The 18,984-nt window shown below is 40.0% G+C and overlaps 1 pseudogene; it reads right to left on the bottom strand.

The window, feature by feature from the left end:
- RPS15AP27 (ribosomal protein S15a pseudogene 27) lies at window positions 16,896-17,310 on the bottom strand (annotated as a pseudogene).

Genomic DNA, 18,984 nt, shown 5'->3' on the forward strand with positions numbered 1-18,984 from the left:
GTGTAGAAAGATAATGCACAAAATAATGAAATGTGAGAGTTAGTTGGGGATTCAAAACCCAGCGAAAGATCCTGAAGCATTATAGAGAAATGATCAGCCTCCCAGATAGGATTAGTGACTTTCCTGGGTCACTTAGCTGGTTAGTTGCAGAGTCATAGCCAGAGTTGCCATGGCTAGGGTTACCATTTATTGAGTAACAGCTATGTCCTAGGCATTGGGCACTTGGCATACATTATCTTGGTTCTCACAATCCAATTCATTGGTGAATCCTGTTACTCATGGATGTAGAAAACAAGATTGGTAGCAAAGAAATAACTTTTCTAAAGTCATACATGTAGGAAATGTGAAAAATTCTCATATGTGCTCTGTATCTATTAGAATGCCATGCATTGTAAATAAAAGAAGATTCATCTTTAAATGGCTTAGTTTATAAAGGAAATATATATATTGTCCCAGTAGGGCTGGCTTAAGGTTTGATTTGGTGGCTCAAGTGATTAGACTGAAACAAAGCTTCTCTCACTTCCTTCTCAGCCTCTCTTCATTAACACTGGCCCTCTTCAAAGACTTAAAATTACGGTTGCAAGGTTGCTGCCAACAACTAGTGGGGCTGCAGACTCAGGTTCAAACTGAGTAGATATTAGAAACTCTGCCTTGCATACAGCTGAATGATGAGGCTCCATTGGCCTCAATTGCTTCTTGCACCAATTGCTGGGTCAATCACTGGGACCAGGGGGATGGACTATGTTGATTCATTTAAGTCAATCAGGGCACACTGCAGGGAATTGCAATGGGATTCAGGACTGAATCCATCTACACTCACACAGCTTATTATCCACATTAACCTGACTTTACTATTTGACTGTCTTCACTAACATAACTTTGCTATTCCACTGTCTTCATCAATGTAGCATTACTCCTCCAGGGAACCCTTCCCCAGGAAGATAAAAGTTGCAGATTACTTACTGTTCATTTCAGGAACTTTCTCCCCTGTATCCACCGAAGAAACAAAACAAATAAACAAAAATAATTTATATAAACACCACACTTGAAATTTTTAATAAATAGCATCAAATGACTGTTTACTCTCTAAGACTTTTTGAATCATAGCTTGAAGCCTTTGATTGTCTACCAATCCTGAAGTATTATATTGTGATACTTATCCAATCCTAATTAGGCCTCTCCCATTGAAAGTTCATCTTAGGTCAGACTCCAAAATCTTATAAATATCTGAACTTTGTCCTGTGATGCTACTAAGACTTTATTATGGTAGTGTTTCCCCTTGTTTTGATAAGAATATACTCAGCTTTGTCTTATCAACTGGCTATTTTGATGATATTTTCATGGAGTCTGCATTCAGCATTAATTCTACTCAAAATACCTTACTATGGAAGTCAATGTAGAGTTAGGAAGAGGGGAAGGAGCATGGGATGACGAGGACAACCACCAAATGTCCACACGTGCTGTGTGAATGGGGCTCCAGCCTTTACTGCTTACTTGAGAAATCGGGCATTTAAATGACATCATTTATTTGGCATTTCTTTGGTGGGAGGGAATGCATGGGAAGTCAGATGAGCCCCAGGGCCACGGAGAGCAACACGGAATCAACTGGGAAGATATAAATGCATGGTCTTCTTCTCCTAGATTGCCTTTCGAAGCTTTGGGCTTTGAAACAATGTTTTGAGCACTAGGCAGAGTCTGGGCTTATCCATGGCAATTCTGGACCAGTGGGAAGAGCACTGAGCTTGCAGTCAGAGACCCTGGATTTTAGTTCCAGTCCCCTTCACTTACCACTTATGTGGCCCAGGGTGGTCACAGTACACTCTTCTTCTGAGCCTTATCTGTACATTAAGGATGGTAAAACCTATTTTATCTTATTTTGGAGGTTTAATGTAGATAGTAAATATGAAAGGAAAATTTAAAATGCATAAATGGCACATACACGTGAGAAATGATTAATTTTGTCAGCCATCCACAAATTCCTACTCAGTTGCTATTGTGACTAATCTGCTTAAACTCTGGCAGGATTTAAAGTGTAAACCACTGGGAAAGAGAAAAGCTAATTGACCCAGCCCAGGTCTATGACCTTGACCACAATGGCATGGTTCTCTTGACACTACACAATTTTCCTATTTGTAGATAGTCTAATTCTCCCGCTTTAATTTCCAGGTTGGTCAGTCAAAACAGTACAGTATTTAAAGCCAGAGAGACAAGGTCTAAGGTTTCAGGGACACTTACTGTATGTCTGGGTTGGGACAAGTTACTTAGACTGTCAGAGCCTTGGTTTACTTATATATATATAAAAAAAAAAACTGCAGGCAACTCACATAGCTGTTGTAAGGATTGAATGTGAGTAGACTCTCAATATATGTGACTGCATTTGAATATGATATTTAGGTCATGTTCTGTGTGATGCTTTTGTGCCAAAATCACACTTTATATTAGGTCACCTTAGCATACGCGTGACCCCAGAGAAAGGAAACACATGAGGGAGTGCATCCATGTCACTGCATAGCTAATTGAGTGTGGCAATAAGAACTTTCGCAATTCTGAGGATGAAACATCTGGTGACTGTTGCAGGGATAATTACTGTCCTTTATAATTGCAGGTATTCCTAGACATAATATTTCCTAGCATTCTTGAATTCACACAAAGTAGCAATGGTTGGAATACCTTTTGGACGTTTATATTTCATGGTATACTTTTATGGTACACATAATAGTCTTTTTTGGTCTTACAATGATATGTATATCTTTCTCCTACACAAGAACTCTGGTAACTTCCCCCTTCTTTTAGGATTGTAAGCCTTAGTTTCCCTTAACAGGCTACACAGGGATGCACTTGAATGGTGCTGAATGTTGGAAACTGTGGTTCTGTCTGTATGGCTGCTGGTGTATGTGGGTTATTTAATTAACATGGTAGATTAGATTTTGTGGTAGAACAAAGTAAAGATTGTATTCAACATGAGAACTGGTGAATCATATAAACAATTTCACTTTACTGGGGGCCCTGTGTCTGCCCTTTAAAGGGAATGACAGAGGATCAGGAACATGGAGCTTTGGGAATCTCTAGTCATCATGGATCAGTTCAAAATGGGCTGTGTGTGGTGAAAGAAATTCTGGTAGTCACAGCTGGTCAAGGGGCAGGATGGGGTGGCCCAAGGGCAAAGATAAAGATGAAGAAATGAATACAGCATAGCACTGAGAGAAACAGGGGAAAATAGAAGAAAGAATAAGAAAGATGGAGAGTAGTGAATGATGTCGAGAGAATTTTGTTTTTATTTGTTTGATTCTTCCAAATCCTTGAATTGGTTCCTTTGTAAAAACATACAAACAAACTGAGAATACAGGTCCATATAAATTCTTAAGGATTTTAGAGGTCAAAGCTGTTACTGAATACAACTCCATGTAGAAATTGGTCCATGTAAGTTCATATGTAATTTTCTGGTTACAAGAGAGTTAAGAATTGACTATCTAGTTTTGCGTGTGTGTGTGTGTGTGTGTGTGTGTGTGTGTGTGTGTGTGTGCGTTTTGAGACCAGACTGACAGACTTACTAATGCCCATTAAATAAATTATTGAACCACCAAACAGATTTGTTAGGCATGGGGAATGAATAAAGAGAGTCTCAGAAGACAAGTCTCAATACTAAAATGGCATTCTCCTTTATGAAATACTGAAGTCTGAGTGGGCCCTTTTTTTGTTTGTTTCTTTTTTTATTTTCAGAAAATCATTCACAACTATCTTTCTCTTCTTTTTTTTTTTTTTTTTTTTTAACATTTTTGGACATATGTGAATCTCTATGTCATAAGAGGTATGACTCTCTGAAACCATTCCAAAACTTGAATAATAATCATAGCTACAATTTCTTGACCATCTTCAGGTGCCAATTAAAGGCTAGATACTTTATATCCATTATCTCTAATCTTTACAACTCCCTCACTCTATGATCTGTATCCCCTAACCCCTCTTTCATAATTTTTTACTTTTTGTCTTTGTGGAATGCATTGTGAGTGATTTCCCAGGTCCATTTTCCAGTTCACTAATTCTCTCTTCTGCTCTCTTAAATCTAATGTTTAATGCATACATTGAGTATCTAATTTTAATGACTGTATTTTTTATTTCTAGAAGTTCTATTTGGTTCGTTTATAACTATCTAGCCAAATTTGTAGTCTCTTATCATTTTATTATACTTTTAATAGTCTCTTTTTTCTGAAAAAATATACAATACAAAATTAAATTATATGTTACATGTAATTCAATACATAATATGTGTAATCTATATTACAGTCATTTGTTATTATATTTTTTACTTCTAGAAGTTCTGCTTTGTTCTTTAAAAAATTGTCTTAATATCACATGTACACATTTTCAAGCCTGTTTTTAATTGAAATAATTAAATAACATTTATTTTATATATTCTGTCTTCTAGTACTTGAAGTCTGATTCTGCTGTCTCCTGTTACTGAAGACTCTCATTCATGGTGCCTGGATTGCTTAAACATTTAGTGAGTTTTTACTGTGATTTGCTCATTTACTTTGGAACTTTATCTGTGTAAATTCTTTAAGATTTGGAACAATATGAGTTCTTGAAGAAAGGATTTGTATTTGCTTTTGTCAGGTGTCTGATGGCACTACTGGCTTTAAAATAAATTTTAAAATAGGTGCTTAAAAATAAACTTTTACTTGTGGTTATTGAGACCACCAAGTAAGTATGAATTTAGGCCAAACAGCCATGAATGGGTGGTTTGTGATTGTTGATTCCTTTCTTCCCCGCTAACTTCCCAAATTTGTTAAGATTGTAAATTCTTATGGCAGATTGCCCCCACTTCACTCTGTACCAGTGTGTGAGAGATGCAGTTTTCCATGTAGTTCTTTCTGAGGCAAGGGAGGTAAAGTTGACTTCCAGCTTATCTTTACAATGAGGGTGTAGACTCAGAGGGCCCAGCTTTATGGATTCCTATTAGACTCCTCAGAACTGTAGGCTTCTGTCACTCACACACCACAAGGCAGCAAGATGATGGTCATATTCATCAGGCTTGGCAAATGCTACGGATGTGGGAGCCAGCCCCAGGGCTCCATCAGCCTCCAGGAGTTTCCACCTTTATTCAATCCCTTATAAGAATATTCTATCATTTCTCAACAGCTCATATTAGAAGTCCTAGCCAGAGCAATTAGGCAAGAAAAAGAAAAGAAACAAAGGACATCCAAAGTGTAAAAGAAGAAGTAAAATTATCTTTGTCCTAAACAACAAAGAGAAAGGAGCCTGAAAAAAAAATCACTGGCCGGGTGTGGGGGCTGACGCCTGTAATTCCAACATTTTGGGAGGCTGAGGTGGGTGGATCACCTGAGGTCAGGAGTTCAAGACCAGCCTGGTCAACATGGCGAAACCCCATCTCTACTAAAAATACAAAAATTAGCTGGGCGTGGTGGTGCATGCCTGTAGTCCCCAACTACTCAGAATGCTGAGGCAGGAGAGTGGCTTGAACCTGGGAGGCAGAAGTTACAGTGAGCCGAGATCGTGCCACTGCACTCCAGCCTGGGCAACAGAGCAAGACTTCGTCAAAAAAATAATAATAAATAAATAAATAAATAAATAAATAAATAAAATAAATCACCCAAAACCAGAGAACTGTAGGATTATAACAACAAAAATGAAGGAAATACAAATACATCCAGCAATGTAGGTGAATCTCCAGAGAATCACGCTGAGTGGAAAAGACAACCCCTAAAGTTTACATGCTGTTTATTCTATTTATTTAACATTCTTGAAATGACAAAATTGTGGAAAGGGAGAGCAGATTAGTAGTTGGCAGAGCATGGGGGTTGGGGGCAAGAAGGAAATGGGTATGGCTACAAAAGGGCATCATGAAGGATCCTTGTCATGTTGGAAATGTTCTGTATCTTGACTGTATCAATGTCAGTATCCTAGTTGTGATACTGTACTATAGTTTTGCAAGATGTTACCATTGGGAGGAACTCCTGAAAAGGTACATTGGATGTACCTGTATTATTTCTCACAATTACATGTGAATCTACAATTATCTCAAAAAAAGTTGAATTAAAAAAAAACACAGGCTACTCAAGTTTATGCAGTAAAAAGGCTTGACTACTGCTGCTTCATAGCAAGTAGACAGAATGATCTGGCAGTGCCAGCAGATGCCACTTGTGCAGCCAGTTGGGTAATTATACCCCATGGATTCCATAGTAATTACAGTGGGACTCACACTATACTTCTCATGCCGGAAATCATCACATTCCCTTAGTAATTACTCAGAAGCAAGCACCTATGGCAGTGGATGGCTTGCAACTGATGGCTGACAAACTGTTAAGAAATAAAGAAATCAGCCTAATTTGCAGGCAGGATTGGGCAGCAGTCTACAGTCCCTTTTGGGTTTATCATGACCATTAGCAAGATATCTGGGAAAATTGTGAGGAATGTTCTAACAATAAGTTTGTAGTTTGTTTTCAAGGATAATAGCTTCAAAATAGTGCTTGATTTCCCTATTTATTACCAAAACAACAACAAAAGCCAACTAAAGAATGATGTGATGACAACTGTTTGGGATATGGTCATTGTCTATCTTCATTTGTCTCCCAAAAGGGACCCATTGGAGAAGCAAGTTAGCATAAAGTTCTCCAGGAGAAAGGCACTGCTCACTTACGTTGACTGCCCACTAAGCGTAGAAATAACAGAGACTTTATTCCACTGGAGCCTCACAATACAGAGATGTCAGTTTTCCAGAAGGAAAATCTCAGGTTTTAGGGAAGTAAAACTTCTCTGAGGTTGCAAGTGGGAGTTAAAGAGAGCTGGAATTTGAACCTGAGTCACTCCAATCACAAAATTCTGTCTTCTTTTTAGCCCATAGCAGCAAGTGTTGCTCCAAGTTCTCCAGTACATTTATTTCAGAGCTAAGAATAAGAGCAGGTCTATGAGCAATGTCAGCATTAAGTGGGAGGAGGAAGGACTTTGTATTGAGCAAAGAGCACTAGATTTGAGATCTAAATCCTGGACTCTTATCTCGTCTTTAGCTTTGAGGCTTTTGCATAAAGCCTTTCATTTCTATGAGCCTCGGTTCCTTCATTTGTGAAATAGTGGTTGTAACAATTAAATTAGGTGATAAATGAAAAGTAACTAGCATAGGGCTTAGTCCATAGTCCAATAAATACGAATGTTGTTAGGGATTCTTTGAGCTTAGGATAGGGCAGAGTGGACACTTTGGCTCTAGTTAATCATTAACCCCTGGTTCACAACAGGTACCTGTAGACCACTTGCTTCTCAAAGATCCATTTGAGGTACCTGCAGTGCAGGAGCCTCCTTATACCCTTCTTAAAGGTTTCAGCCTCGGAGATGAATGTAGCAGTTCTTAAGACCTTCCAACCCATGTCCTCCTAAGGGTAAGGGAACCTTGCTAAATTAAATATCATCTTCAGAAACCTTCTAGAGCTGGGATGCATCAGCTGTTTACTCCCCTCTCTTTCTCAAGCCAAGCTCATCTGGTCTTCATTGCGATTATCTATGTGTCTGTCTCCCTTTATAACATCAATTTCCTGAAAGCAGTAATCTGCTTCGATACCGTATTCTTAGGACCTAGTACAGGGCCTAGAAAAGAGAAGACACACAATCATGCTTAAAAATAAATCAGTAAACAGACAAGCACATGCATGACCTCTGGAGTCTGTGCTGATTTTTAGCTTAGAGTGGTCAGTGCTCAGTACTCACTGTCCAGGCAAGTGTTTGATGTCAGAGGGTGACAGGGAAGTTTGACTGTCCCAACCATAGCCACTTTGTGTTGGGCAATCAGGAACTTTTCCGGTAGAGCTGATCCTCTCTCATGACACGTGTTAATTTTTGTATTGGCATTAAGTACATATAAGGAACATTTCACGTGAAAGACTCAAAACACTCCGATTTCTGGGCTCATCCCTATATTATTCTCATGTATCATTAGCACTTCTTTTTTCTTTCTTTTCATAAAAACAGATTGCATTGTGTTTCCCAGCTTGGGCTCCTAGAGACCAAAAGCAGTGACAGAGGATGTCTCCACCCATTTACCTGATGTCACTGCAGAAGACAAATGCCCCACTGGTTGGAGTTGCTAGTGGGGACAGTGGAACAAAGAGTCCAATATGAGAGAGATATCCCCTCCTTCCTCCTCTTTCCTCTCTTCCTCCATGAGGGAACACCGTGGTTTTGAGTGCTAGCTGTCACTCTCTGGTTGTTGGCTTTGCACATAGAAGTTGGATCTTCTGAAGCTTTAAAATGGGAATAATAATGGTCATTCTTATGGGGTTGAGGAGAGGGTTTATTCGTCAATTTAGCAAGTGTTTATTGACTGTGTGCTATGGGCCAGACACTTCTGTCAGTGATGGAAATATGTCAGTGAATAGATTCAGAGGTGACACATGATCCTGGAGAAAATTATGGCAGTCGGGGATACCCAGTGCTAAGTGGGGGTAAGTGGGGTTAAATTTAGTGGTCAGGGGGGACCTTGCTGAGAAGATGACATTGGAGCAAAGACTTGAAGTTGGTAAGGAGGTGAGCCACTTGGATACCTGGGGGACAGCTTCTAGCCAGAGGGACTAGCCAGCACAAAGCCTCGGGGCTGGAGCAGGCCTGGCGTGTTTGTGGAACTGCAGGGAGGTTTATAACTGCATATGAATGTGTAATTATATATTACAAAATTTAATTAAAAATTTAAAAATGTGCCATTTAGGACACCCAAGTTCATGCAATGAAAGGGTCACAGTCAGGAGTAAGAGGAACAGCAGTAGGACCTGCGGTCAAGGAGGTGGGGGCAGCATATGTAGAACCCGTAGGACGCTATAAAGTCGTGTACATTCTCAATAAAATTGAAAGCCACTCGAGCATTTTGAGCAGAGGAGGAAACTGATAGGACTTAAATGTGAAGAAGCTCCTGTAGTTGTTGCATTGCAGGAGGCTGTAGGAAGACAAGTAAAGAAGAAGCAAGCAGGTCACTTAGCCAGTTAGTTGGAAATGATCTACAGCAAGTGCCGTAGATCACTGGCTAAGGGGCCCCCTTGCTTTTTCTTCACTTGGTATGCATGGCCCAGATGATAGACATGCTCAACCACCATTTCACCTTGGCCATGTACACTTGATGTGCCATTTAGATAAATAGTCTTCTTTGCAAACAGGGACAAGTAGTAAAATCAATCCGTGATTTCCATAGTTTGATGAGTCTATACTCAATCAACTCTTGGCTCCGAATGTTCCTCTATGATCTTGGGAAAACTCTTTTGCATCCCACTAAAGTACAGTCCCCCCAGCGTAAGCTGAATACTAATAATCTCTTCCATATAGGGTTATCAGTAGCACTTATTACAATAATACCTATAAAGTATCTCACACATAGGAGGACTCCAAAATGCTAGTTCTAGTCACCATCCCTCATTTATAGTCTGTGTTTCTGTAACTCATGTTTCTTTTCAGCATTTTCTGATTCATGATTCTGAAATTAAAAAGTCTTTTATGGTTACTAAACATTCATGTTTAATTAAATAGCCTTTTTAATTTTAAAAGGACAAATGTTGGAGGCATGTATTAACAGCTCTTGGCCAAATGCCTGAGGGAAGTTTGTTTGTTTAGTTTATAAGGCTGACCCAGCACCTAACTGAGTGCTGGGCATATGTTAGATGCTCAACAAGTGTTTGGTGAATGAGTATGTGTGAGGCTGTGATTAAGGATCCACTACCCGGGTAACTAATGACATCTTGCCTTAGTGATAGCCAAAGAGGAAATTAAGGGTTAATTTTACTAATGATATGTCTTAAGATTTTATATAACTAAAACTTTTCAGTGGGCTAACTAGATTGATTCATGCACCATTTTATTTTATTTTTTATTTTTATTTATTTATTGATTGATTGAGATGGAATCTCTCTGTTGCCTAGGTTGGAGTGCAGTGGTGTGATCTCGGCTCACTGCAACCTCTGCTACTGGGTTCAAGTGATTCACCTGACTCAGCCTCCTGAGTAGCTGGGATTACAGGCACTCGCCACCACACCCAGCTAATTTTTGTATTTTTAGTAGAGACAGGGTTTCACCATGTTGGCCAGGCTGGTCTTGAATTCCTGACCTCAGGTGATCCACCCGCCTTGGCCTCCCAAAATGCTGGGATTACAAGTGTGAGCCATCATGTGCAGCTACCATTTTAAAAATTTGTTTGTTTGTTTGTTTGTTTATTTTTTGAGATGGAGTTCTGCTCTGTTGCCAGGCTGGAGTGCAGTGGCACAATCTCAGCTCACTGCACCCTCCGCCTCCCGGGTTCAAGGGATTCCCCTGCCTCAGCCTGCTGAGTAGCTGGGACTACAGGCGTGCACCACCACACCTGGCTAATTTTTTTTTTTTATTTTAGTAGAGACGAGGTTTCACCATGTTGGCCAGGATGGTCTCGATCTCCTGACCTCGTGATCCTCCCGCCTCTGCCTCCCAAAGTGCTGGGATTACGGGTGTGAGCCACTGCACCCGGCCAAAAATTGATATTTTAAAAGGTGTTTCTATATTACACAATTTTACACTGTTAACACAAGACCACTAGATTTGTAGTCCAAAGCTCTGGGCCACAATTTAGTCTTCTCTCTTAGTGTCTGTTGTGTGGCCTTAGACATAAACTCTAAAAAGTTAAAATTAAAATATAAATGGCCTTATGTGCCAGTGAAGCTGAGAATATGTCAGATGTGAATGGACTCTGAAGGTGCTTTATGAATTTCCAAACCATCTTGGGCAGTTCTGGGTGAAGGGGAATCACCAGAGCATAGATCATTCTTTACTGTTCAAACTGAAAAACGTGTAACTTTGGGAAAAATATGTATTTATTATAAATCATCCATTTCATTGGGTGGTTTCAAATTTAGAAGCCAATATATGCTTGTCATAAGAAGACCAATGAATGCAAATGTATATAACCCCAAAGCTCTCTTTTCCTACCCTATTCTGTCTCTGGTCTCCCAGCTAGTGAAGTCAACAGATTAGTGTGGATCCTTCCATCACTTTCTCCTATCTCATTCATGCATAATCAAATAAAAGGAACATACATAAGGTTCAATCTTTTCTGAATACAATCCTAGTATGCATGTTACTCTGTATACTATGTACTTAAATATATACACATACATACAGATAAGAGGTTTATTAAGTTCATAATCTAATGTGGGATCATATTTTATGTACTTATCTGAATCTGGCTTTTCTCACTCAACATTACTTTAGAAAATTCTTTCTTAAGTCAGTATGGATAGTTGGAATTTATGCTTTTTGATGACTAATTGCAAGGCAACATCTTAATTTTTCTTTTTTTCTTTTTTTTAACCTGAAGATATTTTCTAATTTTTATTTTTATTTTTTGAGACGGGATGTCACTCTGTCACCCAGGCTGGATTGCAGTGGTGCGATTACCCCAGGCTCAGGTGACCCTCTCACCTCAGTTTTTGTATTTTTTGGTAGAGACAGAGTTTTGTCATGTTGCCCAGGCTGGTCTCTAACTCCTGGGCTCAAGTGATCCACTAGCCTCGGCCTCCCAGAGTGCTAGGATTACAGGTGTGAGCCACCATGCCTGGTCACATCTTCATTTTTCTAAGCCATTTCTTCTTCTAAAAAGATGGGTTACAAACAGAACCTGTTTCATAACGCTGCTGTAAGGATTAAATAAGAAAATTATCTTAAACAGAATTCCTGGCACATCCTAAGTGCTCAATAAATATTAGATACTATAATTATCTTTCATAAAATGCTTTACTAGTGTGGACAATCCTTTTACAGATTTAAACATGAAAAGACCTTGACATTTTTGCTCTCTTAAACTTTTCATACCAATTACATCTTCCTCCCCTCTTATGCTCCCCTTTCCTTCAGATAAACTCCATAGAAGTCTTTCTCTGGGACTATTTTAATCACCCTCTTTTCCTGTCATCTTGGCTTCTCCCTGGAACATGACAGATATTCAATTTGAGCTGGGCATGGTGCCATGTGCCTGTAGTCCCAGCTACTCAGGAGGCTGAGGTGGAAGAATCACTTGAGTCCAGGAGTTTGAGGCTGTAATGAGCTACAGTTGCGTCTATGAAGCTACTTCACTCTGGCCAGAGCAACACAGTGAGACCCTGTCTCAAAAAAAAAAAAAAAATCTTCAGCTTTAATCTTTTTATTTGTACTTGTTTAGTGAAGTTGCTGTGGGCAAGGAAGCTTCTTGGGCAGGATAGAAGCCAGGGGACAGTAAACCTTCCTAGGCAGAAGAAATACCTAAGAGTCTGTGGTCCAAAGAGGCATGCTACTTTTGGAGAAACACCCAGTTCAGGGTGGAGAAGGATAGATGAGCATGCTCCAGTGTGATGCTTCATTGAGTGCACAGTCAAAAGAGCCCTTGGAGCAGGCAATTACAACATTACTTGGGAGGCCCCTAATCCCCAACATGTGGCAAGCGGAACCCCAGCCACCCCTTGGTCTACCTGGAACAAGACAAAAGCTCACTTCTGCTCTCTTGCTGCAGTGAGAGTCTGGCATGAGCAAGTGAATTGGAAAGATCTACCTGGCAAGTTAGAGTCCAGTGGCAGTAGGGAAGCAGTGTGCTTGATAGAGAAACTGAGATAGAAACCCAATCATATGGTTTGCACTAACACACAAGGGATGTGGGAAAGACTGATGGGTGATGGGTGATGGGCATGGGGGTGTGTGGCTTTCCCCAGGGCTCTGTGAGGCTGGATCTGAGGTAGCATGCTCTCCATGTCCTGGGCTGTACTTAGAGACAGAGGGCATGGGTAACTAGCTGGGTGCATCTGGAGAAGAGAGGAAACAGTGTCATTGTCTTAACCAAACATTCCACATGGCTGCCTGTCACCAGGCTGTATCTGGAAGACAGGTAAACACACAATACCCAGTGTGTCACTTGTTGTAATAGACAAATACGCAAGGGATCATGGAAGCACAGTGCAGAATTTACACTAGGGCCCTAGACAGATGTCTGTGGATTGACTATTGAATGAAGCCTCTGTGCTTTTGTTACAAACAGGAGAGCCTCTGCCTGTCTCTGGAGGAGTCAGGAAGTCTTCCAGAATAGTTGGAATTGAGTGAGTCAGAGTGTGAAGAAGAAGGAAAAAGCATTTTACGCACAGGGAGCTGTGGCCATAGGTAGAGAGATAAGAGTATGTGTACCTGACAAAGGCCAAAATGTTGATGTGGTTGAAGGAGAAGACAAATGAGACTGAGAGGAAGCAGGAAATAGAGCAAGAGAAGCAGACATGAAAGGACTTCATTGACATGCTAAGGAGTGTGAATCTTAAAGGAAATAGAGTCAAGAGAAGACAGCAAGAAGGTCAAGGACATGGTCAAATACAGCAAGACGTATTTCTGAGAAGTTGTGTGTAAGTCAGATAGAAACATGGGAAGTTACCCCATGACATTGTGGTATAGTGTTTTGACCTTTATGGCTACTTAGATAACTTTGGCTCCTAAAACTTTAGTCTTCCATATCCTGGTCCTTGCACCATCAAATACTACCCAAATATCAAGGTCATCATGATTATTACATATTCTTACTTAAATATTCTTAAATATCAAATATTCTTATGATTATTCATAAGAAGATCTGCTAATGAGGCCATCAGAAACTAAGAAAGGACTGTGCATCAAAAAGGCACAAAACGACCAGGCGCGGTAGCTCACACCTGTAATCCCAGCACTTTGGGATGCTGAGGTGGGCAAATCATGAGGTCAGGAGTTTGAGACCAGCCTGACCAACATGGTGAAACCCCGTCTCTACTAAAGATACAAAAAATTAGCTGGGTGTGGTGGTGGGCACCTGTAATTCCAGGTACCCGGGAGGCTGAGGTAGGAAAATCACTTGAACCTGGGAGGCAGAGGTTCCAGTGAGCCGAGATCACGCCATTGCACTCCAGCCTGGGTGAGAGGGCAAGATCTCCATCTCAAAAAAAGAAAAAAAAAAAAAAAAGGCACAGTACTTGGAATCAGGAGAGTTGTATCACTGTTCATGGGGATCCCTGAAGGATCTAGCATGGGAGACATTGATTGGTTATTTACAGTCTATGGTAAAGGAGTTCCCTGAGGGTCAGATTTGACAAGGGAGAAGGAGAGTGCTAAGAATACAGGGGATTAGAGTTATCATCCTGCTCTAAATAACCCATGAGTAACATGGGACTTGGACCCCAGGTGTTAAGAGACAAAGTCTTGAAAGTTTGCTAAATCCTAAAAGCTCCTGGAAAATGTGTGAAGAGTTCCCCTAGTTTCTGAACAGAGTAGTATCTGGAATGCCATGACAGCATGAGTCGATCAGAAGATGTCTAGCATCAGACTGGAGCTAGTCCATCACATGATGTTATAGGCTACTAATTAAAGCTCACTTCTGCACATCAGTGGCTACTTAATGGAGAAGTTGCTGTTAGTTTTTCTTTTATATGCTAATCTCTTGGAGCTTTCAACTTCGCTTTATTCTTTGTTTGATTATTTGTAGCTAATTTTAGAAGTAGTACATGCTCACTATTGTGAAAGAACAAAAGAAAATGGAAAGTAATAAAAGCAGAAAGAAATAAAAAAGAGTTGTTCATACTTTCACACACCAGAGACAATCATAGTGACATTTTGGAGTGTTTTACTTCCTGCATTTTTTCTGTGTGATTTTTATACAATTGAGCTTATAGAACTCTTACAAGAAACAAGAGGGCACCTATTAAGAAAAAGCTCAATGTAGGAATAAAATAAATCAATAACATATCTTTTAAAAATTATGAAAACATGAAAATCAGGAAAACAGTTGAGTCTGATAAAAATCAACAGAAAAAATACAATAAGATTGTTTTTTTTCTCTTGGCAGAAACCAAGATTTGTTTAACATTCATTATCTCAGTGGTGGAAATAATCATCCGAAGTAGACTTTGGTGCTGTCATTTTCCAGGTGAGACTCAGTGACATTAAGTGACCTATGTAGATCAAATAGCTGGGAGCCCTGGAATTCAAAGCCAGGTTTGGTGGGCTCTGAAGCCTCTTCTCATGCTCTACTTGGCTGCATTTTTAATTCTAGAGTTAAAAAAAAAATCATCTTAGAGGGGCTGTTAAAACTATCAAGTTCTACTAAGTTTTATTTTGAAGTTCTCTAATATATTCTACTACTAGATGTTTGTGTATCTATGGTTGCCTTTCTCCTGAGACATCCTCCTGATTCCAAGTGCAGTGATACGAACTAAAATTTTCAGAGTCTTTTATGGTTAATTCACACAGTGCGTTCTAGGTTTCATCAGTGGGATGTGTCCACACAGGACAAAAACTGAAAGTGAGAATTTTGAGAAAATCAGATAGTCTCAGACACCCCATGTGCTTACATAAGTGGTGGCAGAGATGTGAGGTTTTCTTGGGTACCGGTGGTTGCCCAGCTGAGTGTCTTTGAGGCAGAGCCGGCATCAGGGATGTGATCGTGGAGGTTGCATTAAAGCTAAATTCTTAGCATTTTCTGTTTGATACTGGTAGCAGTGACAGTCATGACCCCCTTTTCAACAGCCTTTCATTGTGTGTTTTTCTTTTTTTTAAAAAAAGAACTTTATTGATATGCATTTGCATTCCATACAATAAATCCACTTCAAGGATACAATCTAATTTTTTGTAGTCTATTGACAGAGTTGCATATTCATCATTACAGTGGATTTTAGAATATTTTTATTACTTCCCAGAGAAATCTCATACTGTAGCTGCCAACTCCCAGCTTTCTATCCACTCTCCTCTCCAGCTCTAGGTAACTATGAATCATCTTTCTGCCTATTTGCCTATTTTGGACATCTCATATAAATAAGATCATACAGTATGCGGTCCTTCATGACTGGCTTCTTTCATTTAGGATGATATTTTCAAGGTTCACCAATGTTGTAGCATGGATCATACTTCATTTTTTTCTATTGCTGAGTAACAACAGAAAGAAAATTTTTGTTTTGTGGGCACAGCCTTGAATCTGTTTTCTAGCCTTCTTAAGGATTCTCTGATATCCTTTTACTTAACTTTTGGTAACCCCATTTTCTGCTTAGATTAGCCAGAATGAATTGTGTTTGCAGCTAAGAACCCTAACTGACACATACGGATATATGAAGACTGTGATGTTAAAAAGTCACTTAAACCAAGCCAACCATAAACTAGAAAGAATGAATTGTGTTTGCAGCTAAGAACCCTAACTGACACATACGGATATATGAAGACTCTGATGTTAAAAAGTCACTTAAACCAAGTCAACCATAAACTAGATAGTCTCTAAAGAGCCGTTCAAATTCTGATATTCTCTGAGTTCATTAACTTGTAGAAATAAACTATTAGCCAGACGCCAAAGACCACACAAAATGGCAGCTGACCTCAGGAACCACTCTGACAGGGGGATCTCTTAAGATTGAATATTGGTTAGGGATAAGAACACCTCTTCCCATTTAGCTGGTTCCTGCTGTGCCGCCTCTTTCTATCCGGGATTCCTCTCCGTAGGAGGCATCTAGCTCCTCCACCTTTAGCCAGACATCTCTTCCAAGCCCCAGCCTTATATCTCCAACTCCTTAGTCTCTCTTGTCTTTACCCAAAATCCTACTTGGCCAAAGGGGATTTCATAATCTTTTCTTTGAACCAGTATCCTCTCTGACCTTCCTCATTTTCCTTGGTGTCAGGGAAACTTGAAAGCTGAATTTCACAGTCTTCTCTTGGCCAAGGATTGAAACTTCACGGTCAGGTTTGTACTTCTTTCTTCTGTAGTCACTTGCTCTTCATGTCCAAAAATGACCAATTTCAGCCCTTTCTTCTCCTTTTCTCAGGTTCTTTATATTGTTCCTTCCTTATTCCCACACAAACCACTGTTCCATCGAGGCCTGCATTAGCTCTCTCAGATGCCTTGGAGAACTTTTTTTTTTTTTTCCATTGAGGCATTTTATTTGTAAATATATATTACATCCCAGGAAAAAGAATCCCAGGATTTTCCCTCCTGTGTGTTTTTGTCTTGCTTCTTCGTGGTCCATGATCCCAGCTGAGATTGTTAGTACTATGAAACCAAACAGGTGGGATGGGAGCAGATTATTCTGGCATTTTTCTAGATCTGTGAGTTGCACATCAAATCTGGGGCTGATCACTCCACACTTGTATTACCTCCCTGAGAGGTTTACAATTCACCCAGCTCTGTGATCATCAGTGATTTCAAATTTCCCAATTAGGAACACCGCCTAGTAAGAACCTGGCATTTGCCTCTCTTTTCAGCATTGTTGGTGATCTTGAGAGCTCGGCCAGGACATTCATATGCACCATTGTGGCAGTGGGGAAAGATGATGGAAGGAGCAAGAACTTTTGAATGGGATTCTGTATTTAATTTCTTCCCTTCTAATCTGGTGAGTGGTCTCTGAACTTTGAATTATGTGTCCCAACCAATAACAAATTTGAATACACACTCCCAATATTTACATATATATGTAATATATTTCACTTATTAGGTAGATAAATATACTACAAAAATATATTATTTGCCTTTAGGATATATACACGAAAATAATTTTTAAAAGAATGGTATTGAGAAAATGTAAGTAGATGTTTTGAGATTTTTCTTTCCATACCACAGTAGATTATCTTGTCCATGGGTTGCAAGACCATTGCTCTCATTGGTTCTCTATGCTGAACCAGAACTATCTTCACACTGCTGATATGACGATGTTGGTTTCCTGCTCAAGCCTTCCAAGATCCCCAGGTAGAATATAGTCCTAATACCTTCCCCAAATAGTGGGATTTGAGCTGCTTTTTAAAATCTTTATCTCAAGACAACTCTGCTCATGGTAATTGGCTGGTTTCTCTAGCAAGCTCAGTCCAGTGTAGTCTCCAGGACTTAGTTCCTGAATCTGGAAAGCCATCCCCAGCTGTGCCCTCCTTCCAACTCTTGATCTAAGGTAAGGGTCTTGAGCTTCACTCCCAGAACACAAAATCCCACAGACTATTGTGCCAAATGTCTGATGAGTTTTAATTTTAAAAATGTTTAAATATGTTTATTAAGAATTTCAATATTCAAATGTCTTTAACATGCATATTACATTTATATTCTCATCCTGTAAGTTGGTGATACGGTAGGTATCATTAACCCCTTTCCCAAGGGAAAGCTGAATTTCACGGAAGTTGAAGGACTTACTCAACGTCTCATAGCTATAGAAAAGCCAAGCTAGACCTTGTCTCCAGATTTGACTGGCTCCAGAGCTCATGCTTTTCTCACCATCCACTGCTCCTCTGGTAGAATGATGAGAAAAAAAATGACAAGTTAACTTAGTCCATCCCCTGGAACCTGTCTCCCACCCTGCAGTCATTACCATTTGGAACTCCTTTCTCCTCAAATCCATGGTTCTCAAGTGGGGATAAGATATTCACACCTACTCACTTCGCAAGGCTGCTTGCAGGATTAAAGAGCTAATGTTTGCAAAATACTTTGAGCTTCAAGAAAACAGAGGCTCCAAAGAGCTACAAAGGGTTATTAAAATAGTAGACTTTAAATCCCCTTAACAAGCTCCCTCCCCTTGGAGCTAATCTGGTGTGGATCTTCCTCTTCCATCCTAAATCCCCTGTGAGTCGCTCACCTCTGTATCTTGAGCAACTCTCCAGGGATTTAGGATGGAAGAGGAAGATCCACACCAGATTAGCTTTCTTGTCTTCCACTTCTAGGACTTTCAAATACTAGCCATGGTATTTTAACATAGCCTGTGGAATCCTTATAATGTTTAGAATCCTAGCTTAATGAGGGCCCTTAAAGAGCATCTAATCGAATTCTTAATTGCAGAGGTGAAGACACAGACCCAGGAGAAGCAGGGACATGGCCAGAGAACAGTGGCAAGGTGGCCATGAGCCTCAAGTTACACATCATCCCTGCATTTAGGAGCGAGGCTGGAGAGACTCACACAACCTGTCCCTTACTCCTTCCGAGGTCAGCTTCATTGGCATGTGAGCTGGAACTGGGCCTAGGATGGAAGGGCCCCTAAA

Source organism: Homo sapiens, chromosome 9, assembly GCF_000001405.40.
Source record: "Homo sapiens chromosome 9, GRCh38.p14 Primary Assembly".
NCBI lineage: Eukaryota > Metazoa > Chordata > Mammalia > Primates > Hominidae > Homo > Homo sapiens.